Source organism: Homo sapiens, chromosome 13, assembly GCF_000001405.40.
Source record: "Homo sapiens chromosome 13, GRCh38.p14 Primary Assembly".
Lineage (NCBI taxonomy): Eukaryota > Metazoa > Chordata > Mammalia > Primates > Hominidae > Homo > Homo sapiens.
The window spans coordinates 81018391-81045840 of record NC_000013.11 but is presented as its reverse complement, the minus strand read 5'-3'; the positions used below and the strand labels follow the sequence as shown (position 1 = coordinate 81045840).

General features: G+C 35.4%; 1 long non-coding RNA gene across 1 annotated transcript; it reads right to left on the bottom strand.

Moving 5' to 3' along the window:
• Positions 1–1398: 1398 nt before the first annotated feature.
• LINC00377 (long intergenic non-protein coding RNA 377) lies at positions 1399–27450 on the bottom strand. The gene is made up of 4 exons (NR_125770.1): positions 27381–27450; positions 25035–25235; positions 1991–2170; positions 1399–1874 (listed from the first exon to the last, which is right to left on the bottom strand). It is a non-coding gene; the product is annotated as a long intergenic non-protein coding RNA 377 (long non-coding RNA).

The following is a 27450-nucleotide window of genomic DNA, read 5'->3' as shown; positions in this document are numbered from 1 at the left end:
TCTTCAGAAGTTCCCGGCCAGGGCCAGCGCCTCACACCTGTAATCCCAACACTTTGGGAAGCCATGGTGGGCAGATCACAAAGTCAGGAGTTTTGAGACCAGCCTGACCAATATGATGAAACCGGGTCCCTACTAAAAATACAAAAATTAGCTGGGCATGGTGGTGGGCGCCTGTAATCCCAGCTGCTCAGGAGGCTAAGGCAGGAGAATTGCTTGAACCAGGGAGACGGATATTGCAGTGAGCTGAGATCGCACCACTGCATTCCAGCCTGGGCGACAGAGTGAAACTCCATTTCAAAAAAAAAGTTCCAGTGACTTTTTATGATTTGTGGATTGGTTTTTGAGCATAACAGTCACCTGTTGATACAATTCCAAGTGAGTCAGGAAGCTGAAAGAAGTCAAGTCCTGCTTGTCAAAGCAAAATGAACATATAAATGGTCAGGGTGAAAGGCGGATGATAAACCAAAGTTCTTTTGAAAGAGCTTGACACATTGATATCACCAAGAATTGGGAACAAGTGGTAAATAAATTGAAGTGTACCAAAATATTGGAGATGTTAAAAATAATACTGGGTTTATGTGTATTGTACATGGGGAGAATTTGCAGAATATGTAAAACATGGCACCTTACAGAGCTAAGTAAAATGGAAACAAACCAGTTTGCATGTGTGTTCATTATTTTTTAATGCATTTGTTCAGACGCATAGGTAAATGCCTGAAACTGGTAACTGAAGGCTATACTGCTAACAGCTGTTGCACCTGGGGAAGATGGTAGAATTAACCATCAACGCAGGAAGCCCTTCATTTTGATCTCTATAGAACTCTTGAAATAGTTTCATTGATGGCAAACATGTATTTGTTTGCAAAATGCAATTTTTAAAAGAGGTAAAAGGCAGAGGAGGATGAGATGAAGGAAGAGAAGGAGTGGGAGGAAGAACAGAGGTGAAAATTAAATCAGGTCAAAGTCCAAAACTGCACAGTGGTTTCAGAAAAAACTCAAACATTGTCTGGCTTATTCAGTGTCTGCTCTTTGTATTCCTTTTTCAGTGGAGATAATTTTATCACCAGCTCACCTCAGCATCTTCCAAACATACCATCACTTTTTTTCTTCCTTTTCTAGTTTTCTTCTTAATAACATATATTATTAGAGTTTTTATTTTAAAGAAATGCCTACTTTATTTAAGAAATATCATCTGTGAATACATTATAAAATATGAGTCACTAGCTTTACATCTATTTAGGTTCATAAATATTTTCAACTTATGTCTGTGTTTTCTAATGCTTATAGTTCACACAATTACTCTTGGATTTCCAGAATGCTTTCGGTAATTTTTTTGAAAAGCAGCATCTTATAGAAATAAGGAAACACCCCCAGATGGACTGAAGAAGCGAATATTAAAATGAACATTTGTCACATGAAACTGACTTCTTTAGTAGACAAAGGCTGTGATGGCTGTACAATATTCCCCTTACTCTCTACTTCTACTTCCAAGTACTTAAATATCCTTAAAAAATATAAAGCTTTACTGAAAGGTGTGAAAATTTGATATGGTTTGGATCTGTGTCCCCATCCAAATCTCATGTTGAGTTGTAATTCTCAGTGTTGGAGGTGGGGCCTGGTGGGAGGTGATTGTATCACAGGGATGGAGTCCCCAAGAATGGTTTAGCACCATTTCCCTAGTGCTGTTCTTCTGACAGAGTTCTCACAAGATCTGGCTGTTTAAAAGTGTATAGCACCTCCACACTTCTCTCTCTTCTTCCTGCTTTGGTCATGTAAGACGTGCCTGCTCTCCCTTCCCCTTCTTCCATGACTTTAAGTTTCCTGAGGCCTTCCCAGAAACCAAACAGATGCCAGAATCACGCTTCCTGTACAGCCTGTGGAAACATGAGCCAATTAAACTTCTGTTCTTTATAAATTACCCAGTCCCAAGTACTTACAGCAATGTGAGAATGGACTAATATACAATTCTATCAGAAAAGTCCTGCCTCACCTGTGCCTAATTTTGACCTTGATGGCTTTTGATCCACTTGAACAGAGTTCATTATTGCGCTACCTCGGCACATAGAAGATGCTATTGTTCCTTCCTCTTAGAGACCCATGATAAAGATTTCTCCGAAGCAAATGCACTTTTCCAGGAGTAATATTTAGCACAGAGTTTTCTCCTCTCCACCTGTAGAATGTATAAAGAATATCAAAAAAGTAGTATACCGGGAAAGATTATCAAGTCCCATAGCTTTATGATCAAAGTTATGTTTTAAGTCCAATAGATGAAGAAAGATATGTTATCACTTCTTCTCCAAGCAAATCAAAGGAAGAAATATTTTATAGTTATTAAAATCACTAAATCACTATTTCTCTCTCTGTGTTGCTCTATTTCAGCTTTTTACTCACTTTTAGTCCTCTTTTAAGCCTGTTTTAATGATATTTAAATAACTGCTCTGTCCCAGATAATGAAACTTGTCTAATAGAGAGATTTTTGGCATGATTCATTTACTGTATTGGTTCACCTTGTGTGACAAGTATACTGATGAGTTCATAAAAAAATGACAACATGGTGAATTGCCCTAATTGAATCAATGATCTAAATAGCCTTTTATAACTTAAATAATTCTGTTTAGCTCAAGCCATTAAAGTGACAATAATTTTAAGGGATATGCTATTGAAAATTGCTGTTCTCTTGCATATATTAAATCTTCAGGCCTAGAACTCTATTAATGAAAATATAATTTCAGCCTTACCAATGCATTCATGAAAGTAAATTGATCTTTATACAGTGTATTGCAAAAAATAATGGCATTTTTTTCCTATAAATGAAAGCTGTAGGGATGTTTGGGATTGTTTGTTTCTTTTTTTGCTACTGCATTTTGAAAAAAAAAACGGTCCACAAATGCTAAAAAAACAAAAATCTAGTTTGATGTACCTTGTTTCAGTAGTCTAAAAAAATTTATCAAACTTAATTGGAGCTAACATTGGGATTAAAAACTAGCATGGCTTAACTTTATTTTTAGTTTCCTTCTGATATCTGTTCTTGGGGCATTACCTAACTGCCTTTATATAAGTTAGGTATGCAGTACATAAAACATTTTTAAACTTATAGATTCATGGAGCACATGTGCAGGTTTGTTACATAGGTATAATGCGTAATGCTGGGATTTGGGCTTCTACTGAACCTGCTGCCCAAATAGTGAACACTGGATCCAGTAGGTAGTTTTTCAACTCTTGCCCCCCTCCCTCTCTCTTCCTTTTGGAAGCCCCTAGTATCTATTGTTTCTGCCTTTATGTCTATGAGCAGCACAAAAAAACTTAGGACACTTTTTTGCAAATTACGGAAAATTTGATCAAAACCGCCTTAAATAAGATGGAAATTTATTACCATAAAATTGAAATATTCAGCTTATATTAATTTCAAGCACAGATAAACAGGAATATTACCATTAGTAATTCTTTTGTCTTTTGTATTCATCTGTTTAAAGTATACATTTCATCTTTTTTTAGTATATTCAGTTATACAAACATCATCACTACCTAATTTTAGTATATTTTCATCACTACAGAAGGAAAACCCATACTCATTATGAATTACTCCTCAATCCCCACTTCTCCAGTCATAGGCAGCCAATAGTGTACTTTCTATTTTGATGGATTAGCCTATTCTAGATTTTACTATAAATGGTATCATGTGGTCTTTTGTGATTGGTTTCTTTTACTTAGCATAATGTTCTTTAGGTACAACCATGTTGTCATAGGTATCAGTATTTCATTCCTTTTCATATCCAAATAACATTTGTAGTATACTACAGTATATATGGATATGCAACATATGTTAATCCTTTCTTCAGTTGATGCATATTTAAGTCGTTTCTATTTTGGGATTATAAGTGGGCAGTCTTTTCACTTTCCAGATGGTGTTCTTAAAATGCAAAATTTTGTTATGTATTTGTCATGTACAACATGATAGTTTAAAGTATGTATATATTATGTAATAGTTTAATCTAGCTAATTAATAATGTATTGCCTCAAATAGTTATAGTTTGGGGATAATAATGCTTACATCCACTGTCTATGCATTTTTCAAGAACACAATATATCATCATTAACTTTAGTCACCATACAGCCACCTTGTGCAACACATCTCTTGAACTTATTTCTTCTAACTGTAATTATGTATCCGGGGATCTACATCTCCTAGTCACTCAATTCCTGCCAACAACCTCAATCTCTAGTAACCACGGTTTTACTCTCTATTTCTATGACATCAACATTTTTAGATTCCACATTTAAATGAGCTCATGTGGAATTTGTCAGTCTGTGCCTAGCTTAGTTCAATTAGCATAATGTCTTCCATGTTTTTCCATGTTGTTGCAAATGATTGTGATGAAATCCAAAGTATTTATATATTGTCTTTGGTTACTTGTACTTTTGGTGTCATATATAGAAAACCATTGTCTAACCCAACCTCACAGATTTACTCCTATGTTTTGTTTTAATTTGTATAGTTTTAGCACTCACATTTAGGTCAACGGTCAGTTTTAAGTTCATTTTTATATATAGTGCGAGGTAGGAGTTCAACTTCATTTTTTTTTTTTTGCATGGATAACCAATTATTTCAGCCATATGGTTAAAAGACTATTACTCTCCCACTTGAGTTGCCTTTGTACCCTTGTCAAAAATACCTTTATTATGAACATAAGTGTTTATTTTTTGATGCCACTTCTTTTCCATTGGTGTAAATATCTCTTCTACTCTAGTACCATACTGTCCTTATTACTGAAAATGTTTTCCTAAGTTATGACATTAGGAGAAATATGTCTTCTAATTTTGTTCTAATTTTAAAGATTGTTTAAAATATTCTGCATCCTTTACATTTCCATACAAAATTTGGTATTAGCTTCTAACATTCCACAGACATAAAAAAATGAGAATTTGTTTGGGATTGTTTGAATCCACAATATGATTAGTTCGTGGAGTATTTCAATTTTAATGATATTTAGTTGACCAATCACTGAACACGGAATTGCTTTATGTTTGTTTAGATATTTTCTCACCTTCAACAATATTTTGTAATTTTCATTGCACAAGCCTTGAATTTCTTTTGCTAAATGTATTTCTTTGTTTTATTTATTTTTTGATGCCATGGGAAATGGAATTGTTTTCTTCACATAATTTTTATATTCTTCACTGTTAGTATAGGGAATTATTATTGTTTTTTGTATGCTAATTATGTATTCTGCAGCCTTACTGAATTTATTAGACATATTAGACATAATCAGCTGTGGGGGTGTGTTTGCTTATGCTTGTGTGTGTATTTCTTAGGATTTTATATATAGAAGGTCATCTTATCTATGAGTAGAGATAAATCATTACCTCTTCCTTTCCAAAATGAATTTCATTTTTAAAATATTTTTATTTTACTATTTTTAATTTTTATGTGTACATAATAAGCATATATACTTATGGGGTACATAAGATATTTTGATACAGACATGTAATGCATAATAATCACATCTGGATAAATGGGATATCGATTACCTCAAGCATTTATCCTTTGTGTTACAAATAATCCAATTATACTGTTTTAATTATTTTAAAATATACAATAAAATTATTATTGACTACAGTAACAATGTTGTACTAGTAAATACAAAGTGTTATTCATTCTTTCTAACTATTTTCTTGTACCCATTAACCATCCTCACCCCCTTGTCCCTCTGTTCCCAGCCTCTGGTAACCACCCTTCTACTCTCTATCTTGATGAGTTCAACTGTTTTAATTTTTAGCTCCCACAAATCAATGAGAACATGTGAAGATTGTCTTTCTGTGCCTGGCTTCTTTCACTTAACACAATGACCTCCAGTTCCATTCATGTTGTTGCAAATGACAAATCTCATTCTTTTTTTTTTTTAATGGCTGAATAGTGCTCCATTGTGTATATGTACCACATTTTCATTATCCATTAATCTGTTGATGGACGTTTAGGTTGCTTCCAAATCTTAGCTATTGTGAACACTGCTGCAACAAACAAGGGAGTGCAGATATCTCTTCAATCAACTGATTTTCTTTCTTTAGGTATATACTCAGCAGTGGGATTGCTGGATCATATGCTAGCTCTATTTTTAGTTTTTTCAGTAATCCCCAAACTGTTCTCCATAGTGGTTATACTAACTTACATTTCCACCAACAGTGTACAAAGATTCACTTTTCTTCACATTTTTGCCAGCGTTTATTGCCTGCCTTTTGGATATAAGCCATTTTAATTGGGGAGAAAATATATCTCATTGTAGTTTTGATTGGCTTTTCTTTGATGATTAATGATGTTAAATATCTCTTCATATGCCTGTTTGCAATTTGTATGTCTTCCTTTGAGAAATGTCCATTCAATTCTTTTGCCCCTTTTTAAAATCTAATTAGTACCTTTTTCCTATGGAATTGTTTGAACTCCTTATATATCTGGTTCTTAATCACTTGTGAGATGAGTGGTTTGCAAACATATCTCCCATTCTGTCTGTTGTCTCTTCACTTTGTTGATTGTTTCCTCTGCTATGCAAAAGCATTTTAACTTGATGTAATACCATTTGTCAATTTTTGCTTTGATTGCCTGTGCTTGTGAGGTATTACTCAAGAAATTTTGCTCAGACCAATGTCCTGGGGATTGTCCCCAATATTTTCTTGTAGTAGTTTCAAAGTTTGAGGTTTTAAATTTAAGTCTTTAATCCATTTTAATTTCACTTTTGTATACGGCAAGAGATAAGGATCTAGTTTCATTCTTCTGCATATTGATATCCAGTTTTCCCAGCACCATTTAATGAAGAGGTTGTATTTTCTTCAGCATAGGTTCTCGGCATCTTTGTCAAAAATGAGTTTACTGTGAGTGTGTGGATTTGTTTCTGGGTTCTCTATTCTGTTTCATCAGCCTATGTGTTTCTTTTTATGCCAGTACCATGCTGTTTTGATTACTATAGCTCTGTAGTATAATTTGAAGTCAGGTAATGTGATTCCTCCAGGTTTTTTTTCCCTCAAAATAGCTTTGGCTATATAAATTTTAGGAATTTTTTTTCCATTCCTTTGAAGAATGTAATTGGTATTTTGACAGGGATAGCATTGAATCTGTAGATTGCTTTGGGTAGTATGGACGTTTTAATAATATTGATTCTTCCAATCCATGAACATATAAAATTTATCAGTTTTGGGGGATCCTCTTCAATTTATTTGATCAGTGTTTTATAGTTTTCATTATAGAGAGCTTTTATGTGTTTGATTAAATTAATTCCTAGGTATTAAATTTTATTTGTGGTTATTGTAAATGGGATTACTTTATTTCTTTTTCAAATTGCTCACTATTGGCATATAGAATTTATGAATTATTGCATGCTAGTTTTTCATCCTGCAACTTCATTGCATTTGTTTTCCAGTTCTAATAGATTTTGTATGAAGTCTTTAGGTTTTTTCAAATATAAGATTATATCATCTGCAAACAAGGATAATTTGATGTCTTCCATCCATTTTGGATGTCCTTTATTTCCTTCTTTCGTCTGACTGCTCTAGCTAGAACTTCCAGTACTATGTGAAATAACAGTGGTGAAAGTGGGTATCCTTGTTGTTTTCCAGATCTTAAGTGAAAGACTCTCAGTTTTTCCTCATTCAGCATAATACTAGTTGTGATCTGTAATATAGGGCTTTTATTATTTTGAGGTATGTTCCTCCTATACCCAATTTTTTTGAGGATTTTTATCATACTCTGACCTTTTATTCTACTAAGAAGAAAATGTTGAATTTTATTAGATGCTTTTTTAGCATCAACTGAAATGATCGCATGATTGTTATCATTCTTTCTGTTGATATGATGTAGAATATTGATTGATTTGTGTATGTTGAACCATGTTTGTATTCCAGGGAAAATCCCACTTGGTCATGATAAATGATCTTTGCAATGCATTATTGAATTTACTTTGTTAATATTTTGTTGAAGATTTTTACATCAATATTCATCAGAGATATTTTCCTGTAGTTTTCTTTTTTATGATGTGTCTTTGTCTGGTTTTTGGTAGCAGGGTAATACTGGCCTGGTAGCATGAGTTTGTAAGTATTTCCTCCTCCTCTATCTTTCAGAGTAACTTGAGTAGGATTGGTATTAGTTCTTCAAATGTTTGCTAGAATTCAGCTGTGAAGACATCAGATCCCAGGCTTTTCTTTACTAGGAGAATTTTTATTACAGCTTCCATCTCATTACTTGTTACTGGTCTATTCAGGTTTTCAATTTCTTCCTGGTTCAATCTTTATAAGTAGTATGTATCTAAGAACCTGTCCATTTCTTCTAGATTTTCCAATTTATTGACATATAGTTACTCATAGTAGCCATAATGATGCTTTGATTTCCTGTAGTATCAGTTGTAATGTCTCCTTTTTCATTTCTAATTTTATTTCTTTGTATTTTCTCTCTTTTTTCTTAGTCTAGCTAAAGGTTTTTCAATTTTGTTTATCTTTTCAAAAAACCAACTTTTTATGCCATAAATCTTTTGCATTGTCTTATTCATTTCAAATTCATTTATTTCTGCTCTGATCTTTATTATTTCTTTCCTTCTACTAATTTTGGGCTGGTTTGTTGTTGCTTTTGTAGTTCTTTAAGATGCACCATTGGATTATTTATTTGATGTTTTTTCTCTTTTTTGATGTAGACACTTACAGCTATAAAGTTTCCTCTTAGTTTTGCTTTTGCCATATCCCATTACAACTGAAACTACAGAAATTCAAAGGTTTTAGTATGTTTTCATTACTATTTGTTGCAATAAATTTTTTCAATTTGTTTCTTGATTTCTTCATTGACCCACTGGTTATTCGGAAGCATATTGTTTGATTTCCATGTATTTTTATAGTTTCCAAAATTCCTCTTGTAATTAATTTCTAGTTTTATTCCATTGGGGTCAGAGAAGATGCTTGATGCTATTTCTGTTTTTTTTTTTTTTTTTTTTGAATGTTTTAAGACTTGTTTCATGACCTAACATCTTAACACCTATACTTAGGGATGATACATGTGATGAGGAAAACATTGTATACTTTGTAGCTGTTGGATGAAATGTTCTTTAAATACCTATTAGATCCATTTGGCCTATAGTGCAGGTTAAGTCCAATGTTTCTTTGTTGATTTTCTGTCTGGAAGATCTTTCCATAGCTGAAAGTGGAGGGTTGAAGTCTCCAATAGATAGTGTATCTGGGCCTATCCCTCTCTTTAGCTCTAATAATATTTGCTTTATATATCTGGGTGCTTCACTGGAGCATGTTTTATAACTTAAATAGTTAAATATTTTTAAAATGTGATATAATTTTACATGCTTTTAATGGTGCTTATGTAATACAACTTGTGTAAGATATTTATGAATGATTAGTTTTCAAAGTTTCTTGAATATTACAATATAGTATTCTTTACAAATGTTTGTTTGTAACTCTATCATATTGGGGTAGAATCCCAATAAAAGGATTGCAAAGTCGAAGGGCACGAACATTTTAAAGGCTTTTATACCATTTTCTGATCACCTTCTGGAAGGTATTACCAGTTTGCTCTTCCTTCAGACAGTATGAGATTACTTTATTCCAAGTATGTGATAAAATTATTATTTAGACCATTGAACTAAATGCATGCTTAACTTCCAGTTCTTGCATATCCAGATGTGTGTTATTTTTGTCTAATAACCATCCTGAATTTAGAGTATAGTATGATTTTCAATATACAAGTTTGGCAAACACTTTTAAACATGTATATTTTTTCATGGATGTAACTGAAAGGCAGCTGTAGATTAAAGCACTGAATGTGTTTGTTGGCAAAAGTGATTTTGCTATGTAACACTGGAAGACAATTGAGTTTTAAATGTAACTTACACATGAAATTTAGTATCAGTCTCCAAAGGGAGTGTCTAAGCCCTGCTTGGAAGAAGACTATATATAATATATGTTTGCTAGAAATACTAGTTGTGTTACTGATAATTATCATATTGTTTTACATATTTGAGTTTATACCTATTAACTCATTTACGTGTTCTATTTTCCCATTTCTTTTTCTTTTTTTTTCATTCTTTTGAACTAATTTTATTTTAATATTTTTCTCCTGGTTTGGAATAATGAACAATTTTTCTAGTTTGAATGGTTATCTCAAGAACTGCAGTATAAATAATTAACTTAGTAATTATTAGTAACTTAGGCCTAAAACTAATCAATATCTGTAAAATAATAGGACTTTTGTCTTTATATAATAATACAAGGACATTGTCTTTCAACCCCTTCTGATATGCTATTGTTGCTTTATATTTTAGTTTTGCTTTTCAATTTACATAGGACAATCTAATTTTATGTTACCCTCAATATTTCTTTGGATTCTTGAACACATCTATATTTTTGTTCTCTATTCCTATTCTATCTAAAATCTTCCATTTTAAAATACTTCTCTGTGTTCTGAAATAGCATCTCTTAGAATTTCCTTTTTGAAGATACCATAATGCAAATACCCTAAGCTTGATCTAAAAGTATTTTTCATTCTTAAAAGATCTTTTATATGTCTAAAATTAAAGCTGGGCAGTTTATTTTCTCTAAAAATATGGAAGATGATATTTCATTCTCATTTGGCATTTTATGCTGCCATGAAATGGAATTGTCCTTTTAATGGCTGTTCCTTCTTTGGTAGTCAGCCTTATCTCTCAGGGTGTCTTTATGATCTTTTCTTTTTTATCTGTGCTTTTTTACTTTACTATTTCCAAATGTATATTTCTTTTCACTTATCTTGATTGTGATTGATTGAGATTTTAAAATCTGTTGAGTAGTATATGTATCAGAAAACTTTTACTGGGCCACCTCAGAATCTCTCGGCTTCTGTCCGTGAGATCCTCAGTAATTTTGTTTTCACTGCAGTAACTGATATATATTTCAACTCTAGGTGATCTCCACCTATGTGTATAAACCCCACAGTTCCTTGCCTTGCACATGTCATATCTTCTGCCTCCTAAGCTCTAAAATTCCCTGGTTCTATTCAGCACCCTAATGCACAGTTAGTGCTTCAAAGGAGTGAGTTTGGCTAATGGGTGTAGGAGAAAATACGTTTTTCTTTCTAACAACACCAGTTAGGACAGTTGTTAATAAATTCACCTTTAACAATAGTTACTTTCAATAGGACTTTAGAGTGGAATAATTCAATGGACTGATGGTAATGTGGACACCATTGGCTTATAGAGGTGAGATGGTGATAATCTCTGTCATAAAGTGGCAATAAAGCTACTGAGGCTTTAACATGTTTAATTGGGAGAGGGTGCAGGCAGAAGCTGAAGTGTTGGAAAGAGCAGTGGTTGTTGCAGTTGACTTGTGTGATGGCAATGATAATTATATGGATTTTAGAGATGGTTGGCTTCTGTAAACGACATTGAAATTTTTGCAAAACGACAAGGTTGGCTTGGAAAAGCCACTGGGCAACTCATTTCATACTGTGAAAAGTCAGTAGCTTTGAATTGAAATGCAATGACAATTGAAATGACATTGAAATTTTTGCAAAATGACAAGGTGGGCTTAGAAAAGCCACTGGGCAACTCATTTCATACTGTGAAAAGTCAATAGTTCTTATCCATGGATTTTAGGGGCAGACTCTAATATATTGTCTCTTATAGCCACAGAAAAGACTGCACTGAAAATTTAGTCCAGGATCCGACAGGGCTATAAAGGAACCTAATTACAAATGGTTCCAAGAAGGATTGTACCACTAGAATAAATAGTAATTTTTTAAAAAATCACATTCTGGAAAGAGTTGCAGAAGTTAATGCAACTTAACTTATTAAAAGACTTAAAAAATAGGTTGTCTCGCCTCTCTTTTGAAAACCAGATGGATTGCGGCAGATGACAATGGGCTATGATAATCCTAAACCACCATGCTGGATGTTGTGTGTTTACCAGAGCAGATCAACACAGCCTTTATCATTTGTAATGTCATTATTGATCTAACACATGTATTCTCTTCAGTCCCCATCAATAAAAACAATAAAAACCTGTTTGTCTTTACAGGACAATGCACATTATCTGTATTGCCCCAGGACAATATTTATTCTCCTGCTCTTTACCATAAATTAGTCTGCTGGGCACATTATTATCTTGCATTCCACAGAATATTGTACTATTGAATTGGTGATACTTTACTAATTGTAATTATATTGGGCTGGAAGTAACAAGTATCCTGGAGGCTCTGTTTAGGCAAATGTTTCCCAAAGAGGAGATGAAAACTGGTGAAGAGTCAAGTTCTTTTACATCCACGAAGATGCTTGTGGTCCAGTGGTCTGGAGTGTGCTTTCTAATTTTAGGGGCAAGTTGTTGCACCTCACATTTATCATCTCTAAAAAACAGGCAGAGCACATGAGCACCCATGTGCTGATTTTTCTAGGGATGAAGGTAAGATTCAGGCAAAGTACCCTTCTAAATATAATTCTGCTAAAGTTATAAATGGAGCAAAGAATTTTGATAAAAACCTGGCGTATACAATGAAGTAGTTTACCTTTTTGAAAGGACAGAAGAATGGTCCTTAGCAGCCCAAGAACTAGTTTTCCATAGCTATCACAGTTCACACATTATTGGTTCAATTTCATGAAACACTCTGACATTTTGGTTAAAGTAAAAACAACATTTTCACACCATGGTAATATAAAAATTCTAACTCTAATAAACCTTACCATTAAAATAAAAACAATTGTTTTTACATAACTGTTTTATCTGTGGAAAAGTGAGTTATATATATATATATATATATCTGATATGTTCCCAAGGGATTTCTGTCAAAGTCATGCTATAACATTTTGGGCAAAACATGGATAAGTATTTATTGAAAAGAAAATTTTCAACTGAATCATGATTTCTAGTGTTCAAATATTGTCATCACAAATCAAAAGAAAATAACATTATATACTATACTTAATAAAATAGCTTAATAGAATATGAATTTCCAAATATTTCCTTATAGTCTTCTTTGACAGGAATGCATCAACTTGACATTATTTTATAATTAATTTTTGAGATTGCCTATTATAGGACAAGTATTTTATTACTGACTTTTCTTGTTGAGATTCATTGGAATTGGAAAACTTAAATAGGAAAATAATACATAATTCAAGTTATTTTTTCTTCGAAGTTTCTCAAATTAATTGGGGGTAATTATGAAATAATTATGATACTTTAGAAAATAATGATGTCTCTGAATGAAGAATAAATAGATTAAGATGGTAGAAGTGGGAACAGTCAGATCTGTTAGAAGGCATTGAAGTAGTTTATGTAGCAGGTGAAGTACTTTGAAAATGATATAAACAAGGACAGTGGTATGAAATGAACAGAAGTGCATGAATTTAGCATGTTTTCTGGATTTTAAGCTTCTAGAAATTGCTGATGAATTCAATCTGTGAGAGAGGTGAAGGTGAAAAAATATCAGGGATAATTAATGATCTAATATGTAGTAAAGTATTATGTAATTATTGGGGGGACAACCTTGGGAAAATAACAGCATTACAAAAGTAGAAACCAAAATTTTTCTTTGAATATGTAAAGTTTGAGATACAGAGCGGTTATTTGAGTGGTTATATCAAGAGAGTGCTAAAAATATCTGCCACTTAAATTATGAGTCAGATCTGGCTGCAGAAATGTGTGAGTTGCCAATGTACAAATGTTTGTACACTGTACAATGTACAAATAACTTAGTTATTTTCTGATAGTGAAGGATTGTGGATAGAGAGGCAGAGATTAAGACTGAACTTAAGGATACCCCAACATTGTAATTCAGAAAAAAGAACAAAATGCATTAAAGAAGACTAAGAAGGGCCCAGGAGATCAGAAAGAAACCCAGATAATGTGGTTTCAGAAAACAAAGAGAGCAAATTTGAAAAGTAAGAAGTGGAGGCAAGAGGCAGAATGAGATGGTTGATATGGTTTGGCCCTGTGTCCCCATCCAAATCTCATCTCAAATTGTAATCCCCATATGTTATAGGAAGGGCATGGTGGGAGGTGATCGGATCACGAGGGCAGATTTCCCTCTTGCTGTTCTCATGATAGTGAGTGAGTTCTGACAAGATCTGATACTTTAAAAGTGAAGCACTTCCCCCTTCACTCTCTTGCTTCCCCTTCGCCTTCCACCATGATTGTAAGCCTCCTGAGGCCTCCCCAGCAATGCAGAACTGTGAGTCAACTAAATCTCTTTTCTTTATAAATTACTTAGTCTCAGGTATGTCTTTATAGCAGTGTGGGAAGAGACTAACGCAATGGCTGAATAGAAGCCTCCATCAATTGTCCTCCCCACCAGAACACCAAATTTAACATCTATCTACACAAGAAAACACCTTCATGAGAACCAAAAATCAGGTAAGCAATCACAGCACCTGGGTGTAACTTCATATTGCTTAAAGAGGTACTGAAAAGGGTAGGAAAGACAGTCTTGAATTGCTGACATCACCCTTTCCCCATCCCTAGGCAGTGGCCACATGGTGCTGACAGAAATTCTGTGCACCTGTGGGACATTGCGTGGGAATACAGTGCTGCTAATACAGAGGCCCACAGTGCTGGGCAGAACTCAGCTGATGCCCATGGAGGGAACATTTAGAACAGCCCTATCAAGAGGAGAATTGCTCATCCCAGTAGTCAGAACTTCAGTATCAGCAACGCTGGCCACCATGGGCTAAATTAGTCTGGGCTCTAAATAAACTTGAAAGGGAGTCTAGGCCACAGGGACTGCAACTCCTAGGCATGTCCTAGTGCTGTGCTGTGCTTGGAGCCAGTGGACTTGGGAGTCACATGATCTAGTGAGACACAGCAAGGGTGGCCAGGGGAGTGCTTGTACCACCCCTTCCTCAACCCAAGGCACCACAGCTTACAGCTCCAAAGGAGAGTCCTTCCTTCTGCTTGAGGAAAGGTGAGATAAAATTAAGGAGGATTTTGTTTTGCCGCTTGAATACCAGTTCAGCCACACTAGAATAGGGTACAAAGCAGAGTTGCGAGGCCCACATCCCAGCCCCTAGCTTCTGGACAGTATTTTTAGATACACCTTGGGCCAGAAGGGAACCCACTGCCCTGATGGGAAGAACACAGTCCTAGCAGGATTTATCACTTGCTGACTACAAGCTGACTAAAGAGTCTTTGGGCCTTATGTGAACACTGACAATACCCTGGCAGGACTCCACAAAGGCCTGTGGTGGTTGGACATGGAAAACACTCCTCTGCCTGGGGAAAGGAGATGGGAGAGTGGGAAGGACTTTGTCTTGTTGTTTTGGTGCCAGCTCAGATGCACTAGAATAGAGTACCAGGTAGATTTCTAAGGTTTCTGACTCCAGACCCTGGCTCCCAGAGAGCATCTCTGGACCTGCCTGTAGACCCCTCTCTTCAAAAGAAGAGAACAAGACTGGCTAATGATAGAGCCTGCTGATTATATAGCCCTAGGACCTTAAGCAAACATAGGCGGTGGCCAGGTAATAGTTACAGTGAGCTTGGGGTGAGATCCAGTTCTGTGCAGGCTTCAGGTCTGACCGAGTGCAGCCCCAGTGGTGGTGACCACTGGGGTGGTTGTGTCAACCCTCCGGCATCTCCAGGCGCTCAGCTCACAGAAACTCTGTTTGGGAGGAGGTAGGAAAGAGAACAAGAGTCTCTGTCTGGTAATCCAGGGAATTCTTCTGGATTTTATCCAAGACCACCAAGGCAATACCTCTACAATCCGCAAGAACCACAGCATTGCCTACTGTGGGGTATCCCTTAATGCAGATAAGGCTGCAGTGACCAAAAACTGAGATCACAACCCCCAAGTTCCTTCAAATACCTGGGAAGCCTTCCCAAGAAGAATGGGTACAAACAAGCCCAGACTGCAAAGACTACAATAAATACCTAGCTTTTCAATGCCCACACACCAACGAACATCCACAAACATCAAGACTATCCAGGAAAACATGACCTCACCAAATGAAGTAAATAAGGCACGAGGGACCAATCCTGGAGAAGCAGAAATGTGTGACCTTTCAGAGAGAGAATTCAAAATAGGTGTGCTGAGGAAGCTCAAAGAAATTCAAGATAACACAGAGAAGGAATTCAGAATTCTATTAGAAAAATTTTATAAAGAGATTGAAATAATTAGAAAGAACCAAACAAAAATTCTGGAGTTGAAAATGCAATCGATGGCCAGGCACAGTGCCTCATGCCTACAATCCCAACACTTTGGAAGCCCAAGGCAGATGAATTGCTTGAGCACAGAAGTTTGAGAACAACCTGGGCAACATGGTGAAGCTCTATCTCTACAAAAAAAATATAAAAAATTAGCCGAGTGTGGTGGTACACGCCTGCAGTCCCAGCTACTTGGGAGGCTGAGCTGGGAGGATCACTTGAGCCTGGGAGGTAGAGGCTGCAATAAGCCTCATCATGCCACTGCACTCCAGCCTGGGTGAGACAGTAAGACCATTTCTCAAAGAAAAAAACTTAAAAAAGAAAGAAAATGCAACTGACATGCTGAAGAATGCATCAGATTCTCTTAATAGCAAAATTGATCAAGCAGAAGAAATAAGTGATCTTGAAGATACACTATATGAAAATACACAGTTGGAGAAGACAAAACAAAAAATAATACAATGGAATAAAGCACACCTTGAAAATCTAGAAAATAGCCTCAAAGGGGCAAATTTAAGAGTTATTGGCCTTAAAGAGGAGGTAGAGAGAGCTAAAACTTATATTCAAAAGGACAATAACAGAGAACTTCTCAACCCTAGAGAAAAATAACAGTGTTCAAGTACAGGAAGGTTAAAGAACACCTAGCAAATTTAACACAAAGAAAACTACCTGAAGGCATTTAATAATCAAATCCCCAAAGGATGAAGGATGGATCCTCAAAGCAGCAAGAGAAAAGAAATAAATAACATAAAATGGGGCTTCAATACAACCTACAGCAGACTTTTCAGTGAAAACCTTACAGGCCAGGAGAGAGAGTAATGACATAAAGTTCTGAAGGAAAAAACGGTTACCCTAGAATTTGTATATCTGGGAAAAATATCCTTAAAACATGAAGGTGAAATAAACACTTTACAAAACAAATAAAAGCTAAGAGATTTGATCAACACCAGATCTGTCCTACAAAAATATGCTAAAGAGACTTATTCAATCCGAAGAAAAAGATGTGAATGAGCAATAAGAAATCTTCTGAAGGTGCAAAACTATCTGTGAATAGTGAGTATACAGAAAACACAAAATATTATAAAGATGTAAGTGTGGTGTATAAATTACTCCTATCTTAAGTAGAAAGATGAAAAGATGAATTCATTAAAAATAATAACTACAATTTCCAATGCATAGACAGCATAGTAATATATAAATAAAAACAACAAAAATATAAAAAGTGAGGAGACAAACTTAAAGTGTAGAGGTTTTATTAGTTTTCTCTTTGCTTATATGGTAATTTGTGCAATCACTATTACGTTGCCTCATTTTAAAATAATGGGCTATAAGATAAGTGCAAGCTTCAAATCTAAAAACATGCAATAGATACACAAAAAATAAAAAGTCAGAAGTTAAAACACACCAGCAGAGAAAAATGCCTCCCCTAAAAGGAAGACAGGAAAAAAAATACAAACATAAAAGGAAGACAGGAAGGAAGGAAGGAAGGAAGGAAGGAAAGAAGGAAAGAAAGATGGAAGAGAAGATTAAAAAACAACCAGAAAACAAATAACAAAACGACAGGAGTAAGTCCCTACTTATCAATAATAACGATTAATAAAAACTGACTAAATTCTCAAATCACAAGACATTGAGTGGCCAAATGGAAAAGTGATCTCTTGCCTACAACGACCACACTTCAGCTATAAAGACATACATAGACTGAAAATAAACAAATTGAGAAACATTCCATGCCAATAGAAAACAAAAAGTAGTAGGAGTAGCTATGCTTATTTTACACAAAATAGATCTCAAGATAAAAAGTATAAGATGAGACAAATAGGTCACTATAAAATGATGAAGGGGTCAATTCAGCAGGAGGATATAATTATGAATATATATGCACCAACACTGATGCACAAGTATACCATTGTACCATTTTCTCCACATTCTCAACACTTGTTATCTTTTGTGTCTTTGATAACAGCCATGCTAAAACATGTGAGGAGATATCTCAGTGTGGCTTTGAGTTGCATTTCCCTGATGATTGGTGATGTTTAGCATCTTTTAAAATACCTTTTGACTATTCTTATGTTTTCTTTTGTTTATTAGTTGTTTTTAGGTAAATGCATACTTGATATACAGTTCCCTCCTAGTTATCTACTCAAGAGAAATAAAAACGTATGCCCACACAAAGACTGGTCTTTATTTCAAAGCAGTATTATTCATAATTGCCTCAAACTGGTGAGTAGATAAGTAAACTTTGATGTATCCATACAAAGGAACACTACTCAACAGTTACATGGAACAAACTACTAATACACACCACAACATAGATGAATCTCAAAAACATGATGCTAAGTAAAATAAGCCAAGCCCAAAAAGACTAGATACTGTATATTCTCCTTAATATGAAATGCTAGAAAAGACCAAACTATAATCACATTAAACAAAGTAGCATTTGGGATCAAAAGAGGCTACAGATAATTGACTGCAAAGGGGCATGAGGGAAGTTTCTAAGATGATGAAAATATTCTAAATCTTGATTGTGGTCATGATAACATGACTGCACACATTTGTCAATCTCACTAAACTGTGTACTTAGAAAGGATAATTTATTCCATAGAAATTCAATTTGATAAAGTTGATAAAGATAGATTATCAGCATAGCATTTTCCCTTTACAAATTTTGCCACTTATTTTCTTCTGGATCTATTTACTTTCTTTTGTGCTAAACTGAGTGATATAGTTTGGCTGTATCTCCACAAAAATCTCATCTTGAATTGTAATTCCCACAATTCCCACATGTACTGGGAAGGACCCAGTGGGAGGTAATTGAATCATGGGGGCGGGTCTTTCTTATGATAGTGAATAAGTCTCAAGAGAGCTCCTCAAGCTCTCTCTCTTTGCCTGCCACCATCCGTGTAAGACCTGACTTGCTCTTCCTTGCCTTCCACCATATGAGGCCTCCCCAGCCATGAGGAACTGTAAGTCCATTAAATCTCTTTTTCTTCCCAGTCTCAGGTATGTCTTTATCAGATGCATGAAAATGGACTAATATGCTGTGGAACAAGCAAATTAGACAATTTGCCTTTGACAATTAAAAGTCTGGTGATGATAGGCCGGGCGCGGTGGCTCATGCTTGTAATCCCAGCACTTTGGAAGGCTGAGGCGGGCGGATCACGAGGTCAGGAGATCGAGACCATCCTGGATAACAGGTTGAAACCCCATCTCTACTAAAAATACAAAAATTAGCCGGGCGTGGTGGTGGGTGCCTGTAGTCTCAGCTACTCGGGAGGCTGAGGCGGGAGAATGGCGAGTGAACCCGGGAGGCGGAGCTTGCAGTGAGCCGAGATCACGCTACTGCACTCCAGCCTGGGCGACAGAGTGAGACTCTGTCTCAAAAAAGAAATAAAAATTAAAAAAAACAAAAAAACTCTGGTGATGATAATAAAGTGTACAATTTCATGGGTCCCTACAAAATAGTAAGGGCACAGAGGACAAAGTAAGAGGTAGGAATCCAATAGTGGGAGTGCATTTATATATGAAGCCTGTAATATATTAAGTAATGCAAGGCCCTTAACTTGCTCTATTTTTTTAATCAAGTGAGTGGAGAAATAATTGTGGTGGGTAAAAGAATCTCAAGAAGATACACTCAGAGTGAGTTTTAAAATGTCACTAGCAGACAAAACAGGTGGGATTCCTTGGGATGATCATTCTAAATACATGAGTATATTGCAGACAATGGCTTTGGGGGAAGCAGGATTAATTTAGCTTATTTAAAGCTTAAGAAAAATGCTTAAGGGGAAAGTAAAAAGAATGACAGTATTACTGGTAAATGACTCAGATTAAGAAGGGCAGTCATGCATCTATGTTCATTACTAATTTGGAATTGACAGTGGCATTGGAATTAGATAGTAATAGCTTTGAATTTTTAGATTGTTTTGAACAGTATATTTATTTTAATAATATTGATTCTTCCTATCCATGAGCATGGGATGTTTTTCCATTTGTCTGTGTCATTTACAATTTTTTAAATCAGTGTTTGTAGCTTTCCATGTAGAAGTTTTTCACCTCCTTGGTTAAATGAATTGCTTGGTAATTTTATTGTGGCTATTTTAAATGGGATTGTATTCTTGATTTGGTTCTCAGCTTGAGCATTTTTGGTGCATATAAATACAGCTGATTTCTGTGCATTAATTTTGTATTCTGAAAGTTTACTGAAATTGTTCGTCAGGTCTGGGAGGCTTTTGGAGAAATTTGTAAAGTTTTCTAGGTAGATCTAGTCATCAGTAAACAGAGATAATTTGACTTCCTCTTTTCCAGTTTGGATGCCTTTTATTTTTACCTCTTGCCTGATTGCTCCGGTTAATACTTTCGATATTATGTTGACTAGGAGTGGTGAGACTGAACATCTTTTTCTTGTTCCAATTCTTAGAGAAAATGCTTTTGACATTTTCCCATTAACTGTGATACTGGCTGTGGGTTTGTCATATACAGCTTTTATTATTTTGAGTTATGTTTCTTCAATGCCTAGTTTGTTGAAGGTTTTTATCATGAAAGGATGTTGGATTTTATCAAATGTGTCTTTTTCTGTGTCTATTAAGATAATCATATGGTTTTTGTTTTTAATTCTGTTTAGTGGTGTATCAGATTTATTAATCTGTATTAAAACACCCCTGCATCCCCAGAATAAAACGCACTTGATTATGATGAATTATGTTTTTGAAGTGCAGCTGGATTCAGTTTGCTAGTATTTTGTTGAAAATTTTTGGAGGTTGTTCATCTGGGATTTCTGCCTGAGGTTTCCTCTTTTTTTTCTTGGGTCTTTGCCAGATTTTGGTATCAGGAAGTCCCTCTTTGCCAATTTTTTTGAACCCTTGCAGTAAGATGGGTACTAGACCTTTCTTGCATAGCTGGTAGAAGTCAGGTGTGAGTCTATCTAATACAGGGCTCTTTTAGTGAGTAGATTTGTTATTACTGATTCAACTTCATAGCTCATTATTGTTATGTTCAGGATTTAAATTTCTTCCTGATTCAATCATGGGAGGTTGTATCTAGCAATTTATCCTTTTTCTCCTGGTTTTCTAGTTAGTGAACATAGAGATGTTCATAATGGTCAATGATAATCTTACATATATGCCTGTGGTATCAGTTGTAACATCATGGGTATCATTTCTGGTGCAGCTTATTAAAATATTCTCTCTTTTCTTCTTCATTAATCTAGGCAGTGGTCCATCAATTTTATTTCTTCTTAGGCACGCTGGCTCCTGTTTCTTCCTTCATAGCCACTCATGAATGCCCACCTCAAGACTTTTGCATTTGTTCTCCCTCTACCTGAGAGATTCTTCCCCAGGTCTTCTTGTTGGCTGACTACATCTCCTCTTTCAGATCACCCAATTCCACCACCTTTTCAAAAAACCAACTTTACATTTTGTTGATACATCATATGATTTATTTGGTTCCGATTTCATTAAGTTCTGCCCTGATCTTTGTTATTTATTTTCTTGTGTTACCTTTGGCTTTGGTTTGTTCTTGTTTCTCTAGTTCCTTGAAGTGCAATGTTAATTTTTTTGTGTTAATGTGAGATCTTTCCAGCTTCTTAATATAGACATTTAGCACTATACACATTCCTCTTAACGTTGCTTTCGCTGTATCCCAGGGGTTACTGTGTAGATGCTGTGTATATATTTTCATTTGTTTCAATTTTTTTTTCTGATTTCTGCCTTAATTTTGTTGTTTACCCAAAAATCAGTCAGGAGCAACCTGTTTATTTTCCATGTCCTTGTGTAGTTTTGAGAGTTCCTCTTTGTATTGATTTCTATTTTTTACACTGTTGTCTAAGAAAATACTTGATATGATTTTGATTCCTTTGAATTTATTGAGACTTGCTTTGTGACCAAGTATATGGTCAATTTTGGAGAATGTTTCATGCACAGATGAGAAAAATGTATATTCTGCAGTTGGTGAGTAGAATGTTCTATAGATATATATTAGGTCAATTTGCTCAAGAGTTTAATTTATATCCGGAGTTTCTTTGTTAGTTTTCTACTTCAAAGATCTGTTTAGTGTTGTCACTGGGGTGTTGAATTCCCACACTATAGTATATAGCTATCTATCTCTTTTTCTTAGGTCTAGTACTGTTTCTTTAATAAATCTGTGTGCTCTGGTGATGGCTGTGTATATATTTAAGATAGTTAAATGTTCTTGTTGAATTAACCCCTTTATCATTATATAATGCCCTTCTTTAATTTGTTTTGTTACGTTTTGTTTTGTTTTGTTTTACTGTTGTTGATTTAAAGTATGTTTTATATAGTAAAACAATAACAATGCCTGGTCTTTTTGGTTTTCCATTTGCATAACATATTTTTCTCTTACTTTGAGCCTGTGGGTGTCATTATTCATTAAGGGTCCTTTGAGGGCAGCAGATGGTTGGGTTTTTATTTTTATCCAATTTGCCAATCTACATCTTTTAAGTGGAGCATTTAGGCCATTTACATTCAAAGTTAATATTGACATGTGAGGTTTTGTTCCTGTCATAGTGTTTTTAGGTAGTTGCTTTGTAGTCTCAATAGTGTATTTGCTTTATAGGGTATGTGTACTTTGTATTTATGAGTGCTTTTATTGTAGCAAGTATCATCTTTTCACTTCCATATTTAGAACTACTCTGAGCATTTTTTGTAGGACCAGTCTCGTTGTGACAATTGCCCTTAGCATTTCCTTGTGTGGGAATGACTTGATTACTCATTTATTTATTAAGCATAGTTTGGCAGGATATAAAATTTTGGCTGGAATTATTTTTCTTTAAGGAGGCTAAAAGTAGGCTCACAATCTCTTCTGGCATGTAAGGTTTCTGCTGAGAAATCCACTGTTAGTTTGATGGGTGTACCTTTATAGGTGATTTGACCCTTTTATCTAACTGCCTTTAAGAATTTTTTTTTTTTTTTAGTGTTGACTTTGATAGTCTGATGACCATATGTCTTGGTGAAGTTTTTCTTGTACATTATCTTACAGGTGTTCTCTAAATTTCTTGTATCTGGGTGTCTACCTCTCTGGGAAGACTAGGGAAATTTTCCTGAATTATTCTCTCAAATACACATTTTTTCAATTTGCTTACTTTTTCTTCTCTCTCAAGAATGCTTTATAAGCTTTGGTCAACTTAGGTAATCCCATATTTCTCTAAAGTTTTATTTATTTAAAAACAATTTTTTTCTTTATTTTTGTCTGACTAGGTTAATTCAAAAAACAGATCTTCAAGGTCTGAAAATTTTTCTTCTGCTTGGTCTAGTCTTAGTAAAGCTTCCAACTATATTTTGAAATTTCTTTAGTAAATTTTCCAATTCCAGAATTTCTACTTGTTTTTCAATTAAATATAGCAATCTCTTCTTTTATATCCTGAATCATTTTTCCGGTTTCTTTGCTTTGATTTTCAATTTTTTCTTGAATCTCATTGTGCTTCCTATTGGATTCTGTATCTGTCATTTTAGAATTTTCATTTTGGTTAGGATCCTTTGTTGAAGAATTAGTGTCTTCCTTCAGAGATGTCAACACTCAGGTTTTTTGTTCTGCTAGTGTCTTCACACTGATTCCTTCTCATCTGAAGCAGCAGTTGCTTTTATTTTTTGTGTAATTTGCTATCATTTGAATGGAATTTTTATGTCTTATTCTTTTTTCCCTTGAGGATATGACTGTGATGTGTATTGCATATGATTATTTGGCTTCATTTTTGGGTGCTTTCAGGGGGCCAAGTCTCTATATAGGTTTCTTGGTTGTGGATACCCTCTCTGTTGTGGTTTTCTCACATGCTGCTCGCTGTAGTGATGTATTGGACATATGAGCTGATACACTATCTTCCACAGGGCTGAGAGTACACAGGTCTCATAAAACTTATCTCATTCACTAGCACTGGGCCCTTCAGACAGCAGCTTTTTATTTGGTGGTACAGTTCAGTATTCCACGCAGTAAGTTTCACTTAAGAGTAAGAGCCACCCACTCTCCAGGACCCTGATAATTGAGGGGAGGAACTACCCTAATAAGAGAAGGAGGGAATCAGCATGTTGGGGTATGCTGAGATCTCGGGGTCAGGGTTGAGGTGTTGCACTAGCTACTTATCCTGGGCAAGGAGGAACATGCTCTGCTTTCATATCAGGGCCCCGTTGCAGGGTTTGTGACCTTTAGTTCATATAATCATTAACTTCTGCCTCCTTTCTGTAGCCAAGAACCAAAGAAATGCCCTTCTGGTGGCTACTACAAAACAGGGTTCGGGGCTAAGTCCTGGGTCCAGAGCAGACAGACAGCTCTGTGATTTGTCTGCCCTTTATTGACAGAATGCTACTGCCTTATGTAAAGAGCAGGAGATGGGTCCTATCCTTCGCTCTGTTGTGTCTGCAACAGTGGATGGGGGCAACAGGAGATAACCTCTTTCTCATTTCTATTTCTAGCAGTCAATGCCACCCCCTTCATCAATTGACTCCATGTCCATGTTTCCTTTGTCCCAAGGGCAGGTTGGAGGGCTGTGCTCCCCTCTTACCTAAGGGCAGCCCACACTGAGGGCTAGATCTTTAAGGAACCCACAGCTCCTCAAGGATCTGCTGGTACCATATGGTTGCCAAAGACCAAGCAGGTCATGGGCTATATTTGTGGGGTATCTGGTGATGTGGCGACCTAAGGGCTGAAGTCCCCTGGGGAGAACAGTGCATGTAAAACCAGTGTGGCACCTACCATTTCAATTTGGGTCTGAGGGGATTATGGGCATACCTGCATGAACTGACCACCCAATTTATTGTCCTTAGCAAGGTCCCAAATCACCACTGACATCCTTGTCTGGATTGTGAGGGCAGAGGGGCTCCCCAACACTTCGGAGAACATCAGATTGTCACACAGGTGAGGAGACAAGAGAAGCCATGACTTACCCTTTTCGTGGTCCAGGTTTCTAGGGAGACAATCTCTGTCAGTCTCTTGCTGCTTTCCTCTTTTGTGCCCCAGGTTCTTCCCATGGGTGCTCCAACAGGTCCTTGCTTCATTCCCTCAGATTTCCATTTAAATCATGGGCATTCACCTGTAACTTTGATCTTTCTGAGGAGACCTGGCATCCAACATCCCTAGTCAGCCAACTTGAAAAAAAAAAGAGAAAAAAAACTGTGAAAACTTTTAAGGTAAAAGTAAGTTCGTGATTAGCATTCTTTGTATTGGTTTTCATTTATTCTGAAATTAGTTTTAAAGCAACCGTTACACATACACACAAATAAAAAAATGTTTAACAGTGACAATCAGTGTAACATACTTTGGAAGTATTTCCCTTCCAATGACACAGCATGGATTTATTCAATGTTATTTGAGAAGATCCTTGAGAGTTTTATAATTTAAGTTTCAAGTAGGAATTATACTCTGTGTCTCTCGGCAATATTCATAACAGGTCTTACTACAGAATGTCATTCAGTAAAATACTCTGTGCATGAGTTTGAATGTAATAATTTTACTAATAAAAAATCAGTGCAATAAATCTACTGATTCAGCATTAAAATTTACCTCAAAAAAAGAAATAATTTGTCTTGTCAAAATACCGTTTCACCACTAACTAGACACTTTTTCAAAGTTTCACTTTTCTAAAGGATTAGATATGGATCTCATCCCATAGGATAATCAGAAAGCTTGATAAATCAGTGTTGTTTATATTCAAAGTATATTTGAGACTTCAGAGTTTATCAACTGCATAAGAGAATTAAATGAATAATTTTTCAGTTGATGTTAACATAATTTGTGGAAATCATCCTGTGTTCATATCATATGCAGTTTTTTAGGGGGTGGGGTTAATATTAATTAAACTGTATATGTAAAATTTGGGCTACATGCATTATCTCATTCAATCCCGACAACATCCGCATCAAATAAATATATTTTTCTTCTTTTCATGGATGTAGAAACTGGAATTTAAATAGGCTAATTAGTTAACTATCTTGGTTTATTAAATACTTAATTTGTGCCAGGAGCTTTCCTAAGCATTTTATACATGTTACCTAATGTTATGGCTACAACTAGTTAGGGAAATACACATACAGAGAGAGAGATAAACACACAGGGGGAAAATACATTTTACATCAGAGAGTTACCTGACCAAGTACTACACTTCTTTTGCTTTTCTCTAAGACCAACCCAATGCTAATTCCTTGACTTATCTATTTTTATTTACTAATGTGAAGCAGAGATTAGGTGTTCAATAATTTTGTTTTGAAAATATGACAAATGAATAGGAGAATGATAGAGATCTCAATTTATTTGAGATATCCCTATGTTTTACAATCAAAACTGAGTAAAGAGGTTTCCAAATTATGAACTATTTAATCAAAAAGTTATTTTTGAATTTTAATTTATGTGTGAGTACATATCTTTATCTGTTTTGGTTTACTCGTGTCTGCTTCCCCTGACACCATGATTTATAGATATAAGTGAAAGTAAGATATGAGTTATTATATGTGCACACTGAGATTGTGCAAATTGCATGTAGCTATGGATTAATATAGTTAGAGGTACGGAATTTTCTGTTCTTTTTGTACTCTACTGACAGATGGACCCACTGTTTTGCTGGAAAGTGGAGCCAATTTGTCTGGCTTTGAAGAAAACAGGAGAAAAGAGGATATACTGGGGACACTTTAATGACGGAGAAAGAGCAAGCCATTGGCCCAGCTAATAAAAGTTATTGCTAATATTTGTTTATCATGTATTAGATGCAAGTTTATACTGTTTATCACCATTTGATGTTTAAGTTTTGTTTACTGGAACTCAAAATTGAGGTGGAAGTAATGCTTTCTGAAAAAAATGAATTTAAAATGTTTACATCGTGGAAAGAAAAAGAACTCTGCGGACCTATCAGTTTGTTGGGGCTGCCATTTGAAAGTAAACCAATTCAGGTTGCTTGAACAACAGAAATTTACTTCCTCATAAATCTGGAGGCCAGAAGTCCAAGAGCAAGGTGCCAGCAGGGTTGGTTTTTCAGAGACCTCTCTTCTTGGCTTGTAAATGGCTGTCTTCTCCTTGTGCCTTTACATGGTCTTTCTTCTGTCTGTGTCTTAATCTTTTTTCTTCTAAGAATATCAGTCCTATTGGATTAGGCCCACATCAGTGACCTCATTTTACTTTAATCACCTTTTAAAAAATCTTGTCTTTAAATGAGGAGCTGAATGTTAGAAACTCAATATATGAATTTGGGGAAGGGGACAATTCAGCTTATAATAGGAGATGGTGTAAAGGTAAAGAATCACCTGGCTAAGTCATCTGCATTGTAGTACTCATCTTTTGATGTAGACAGGTACCTCAGTCTTAGTACTGTGG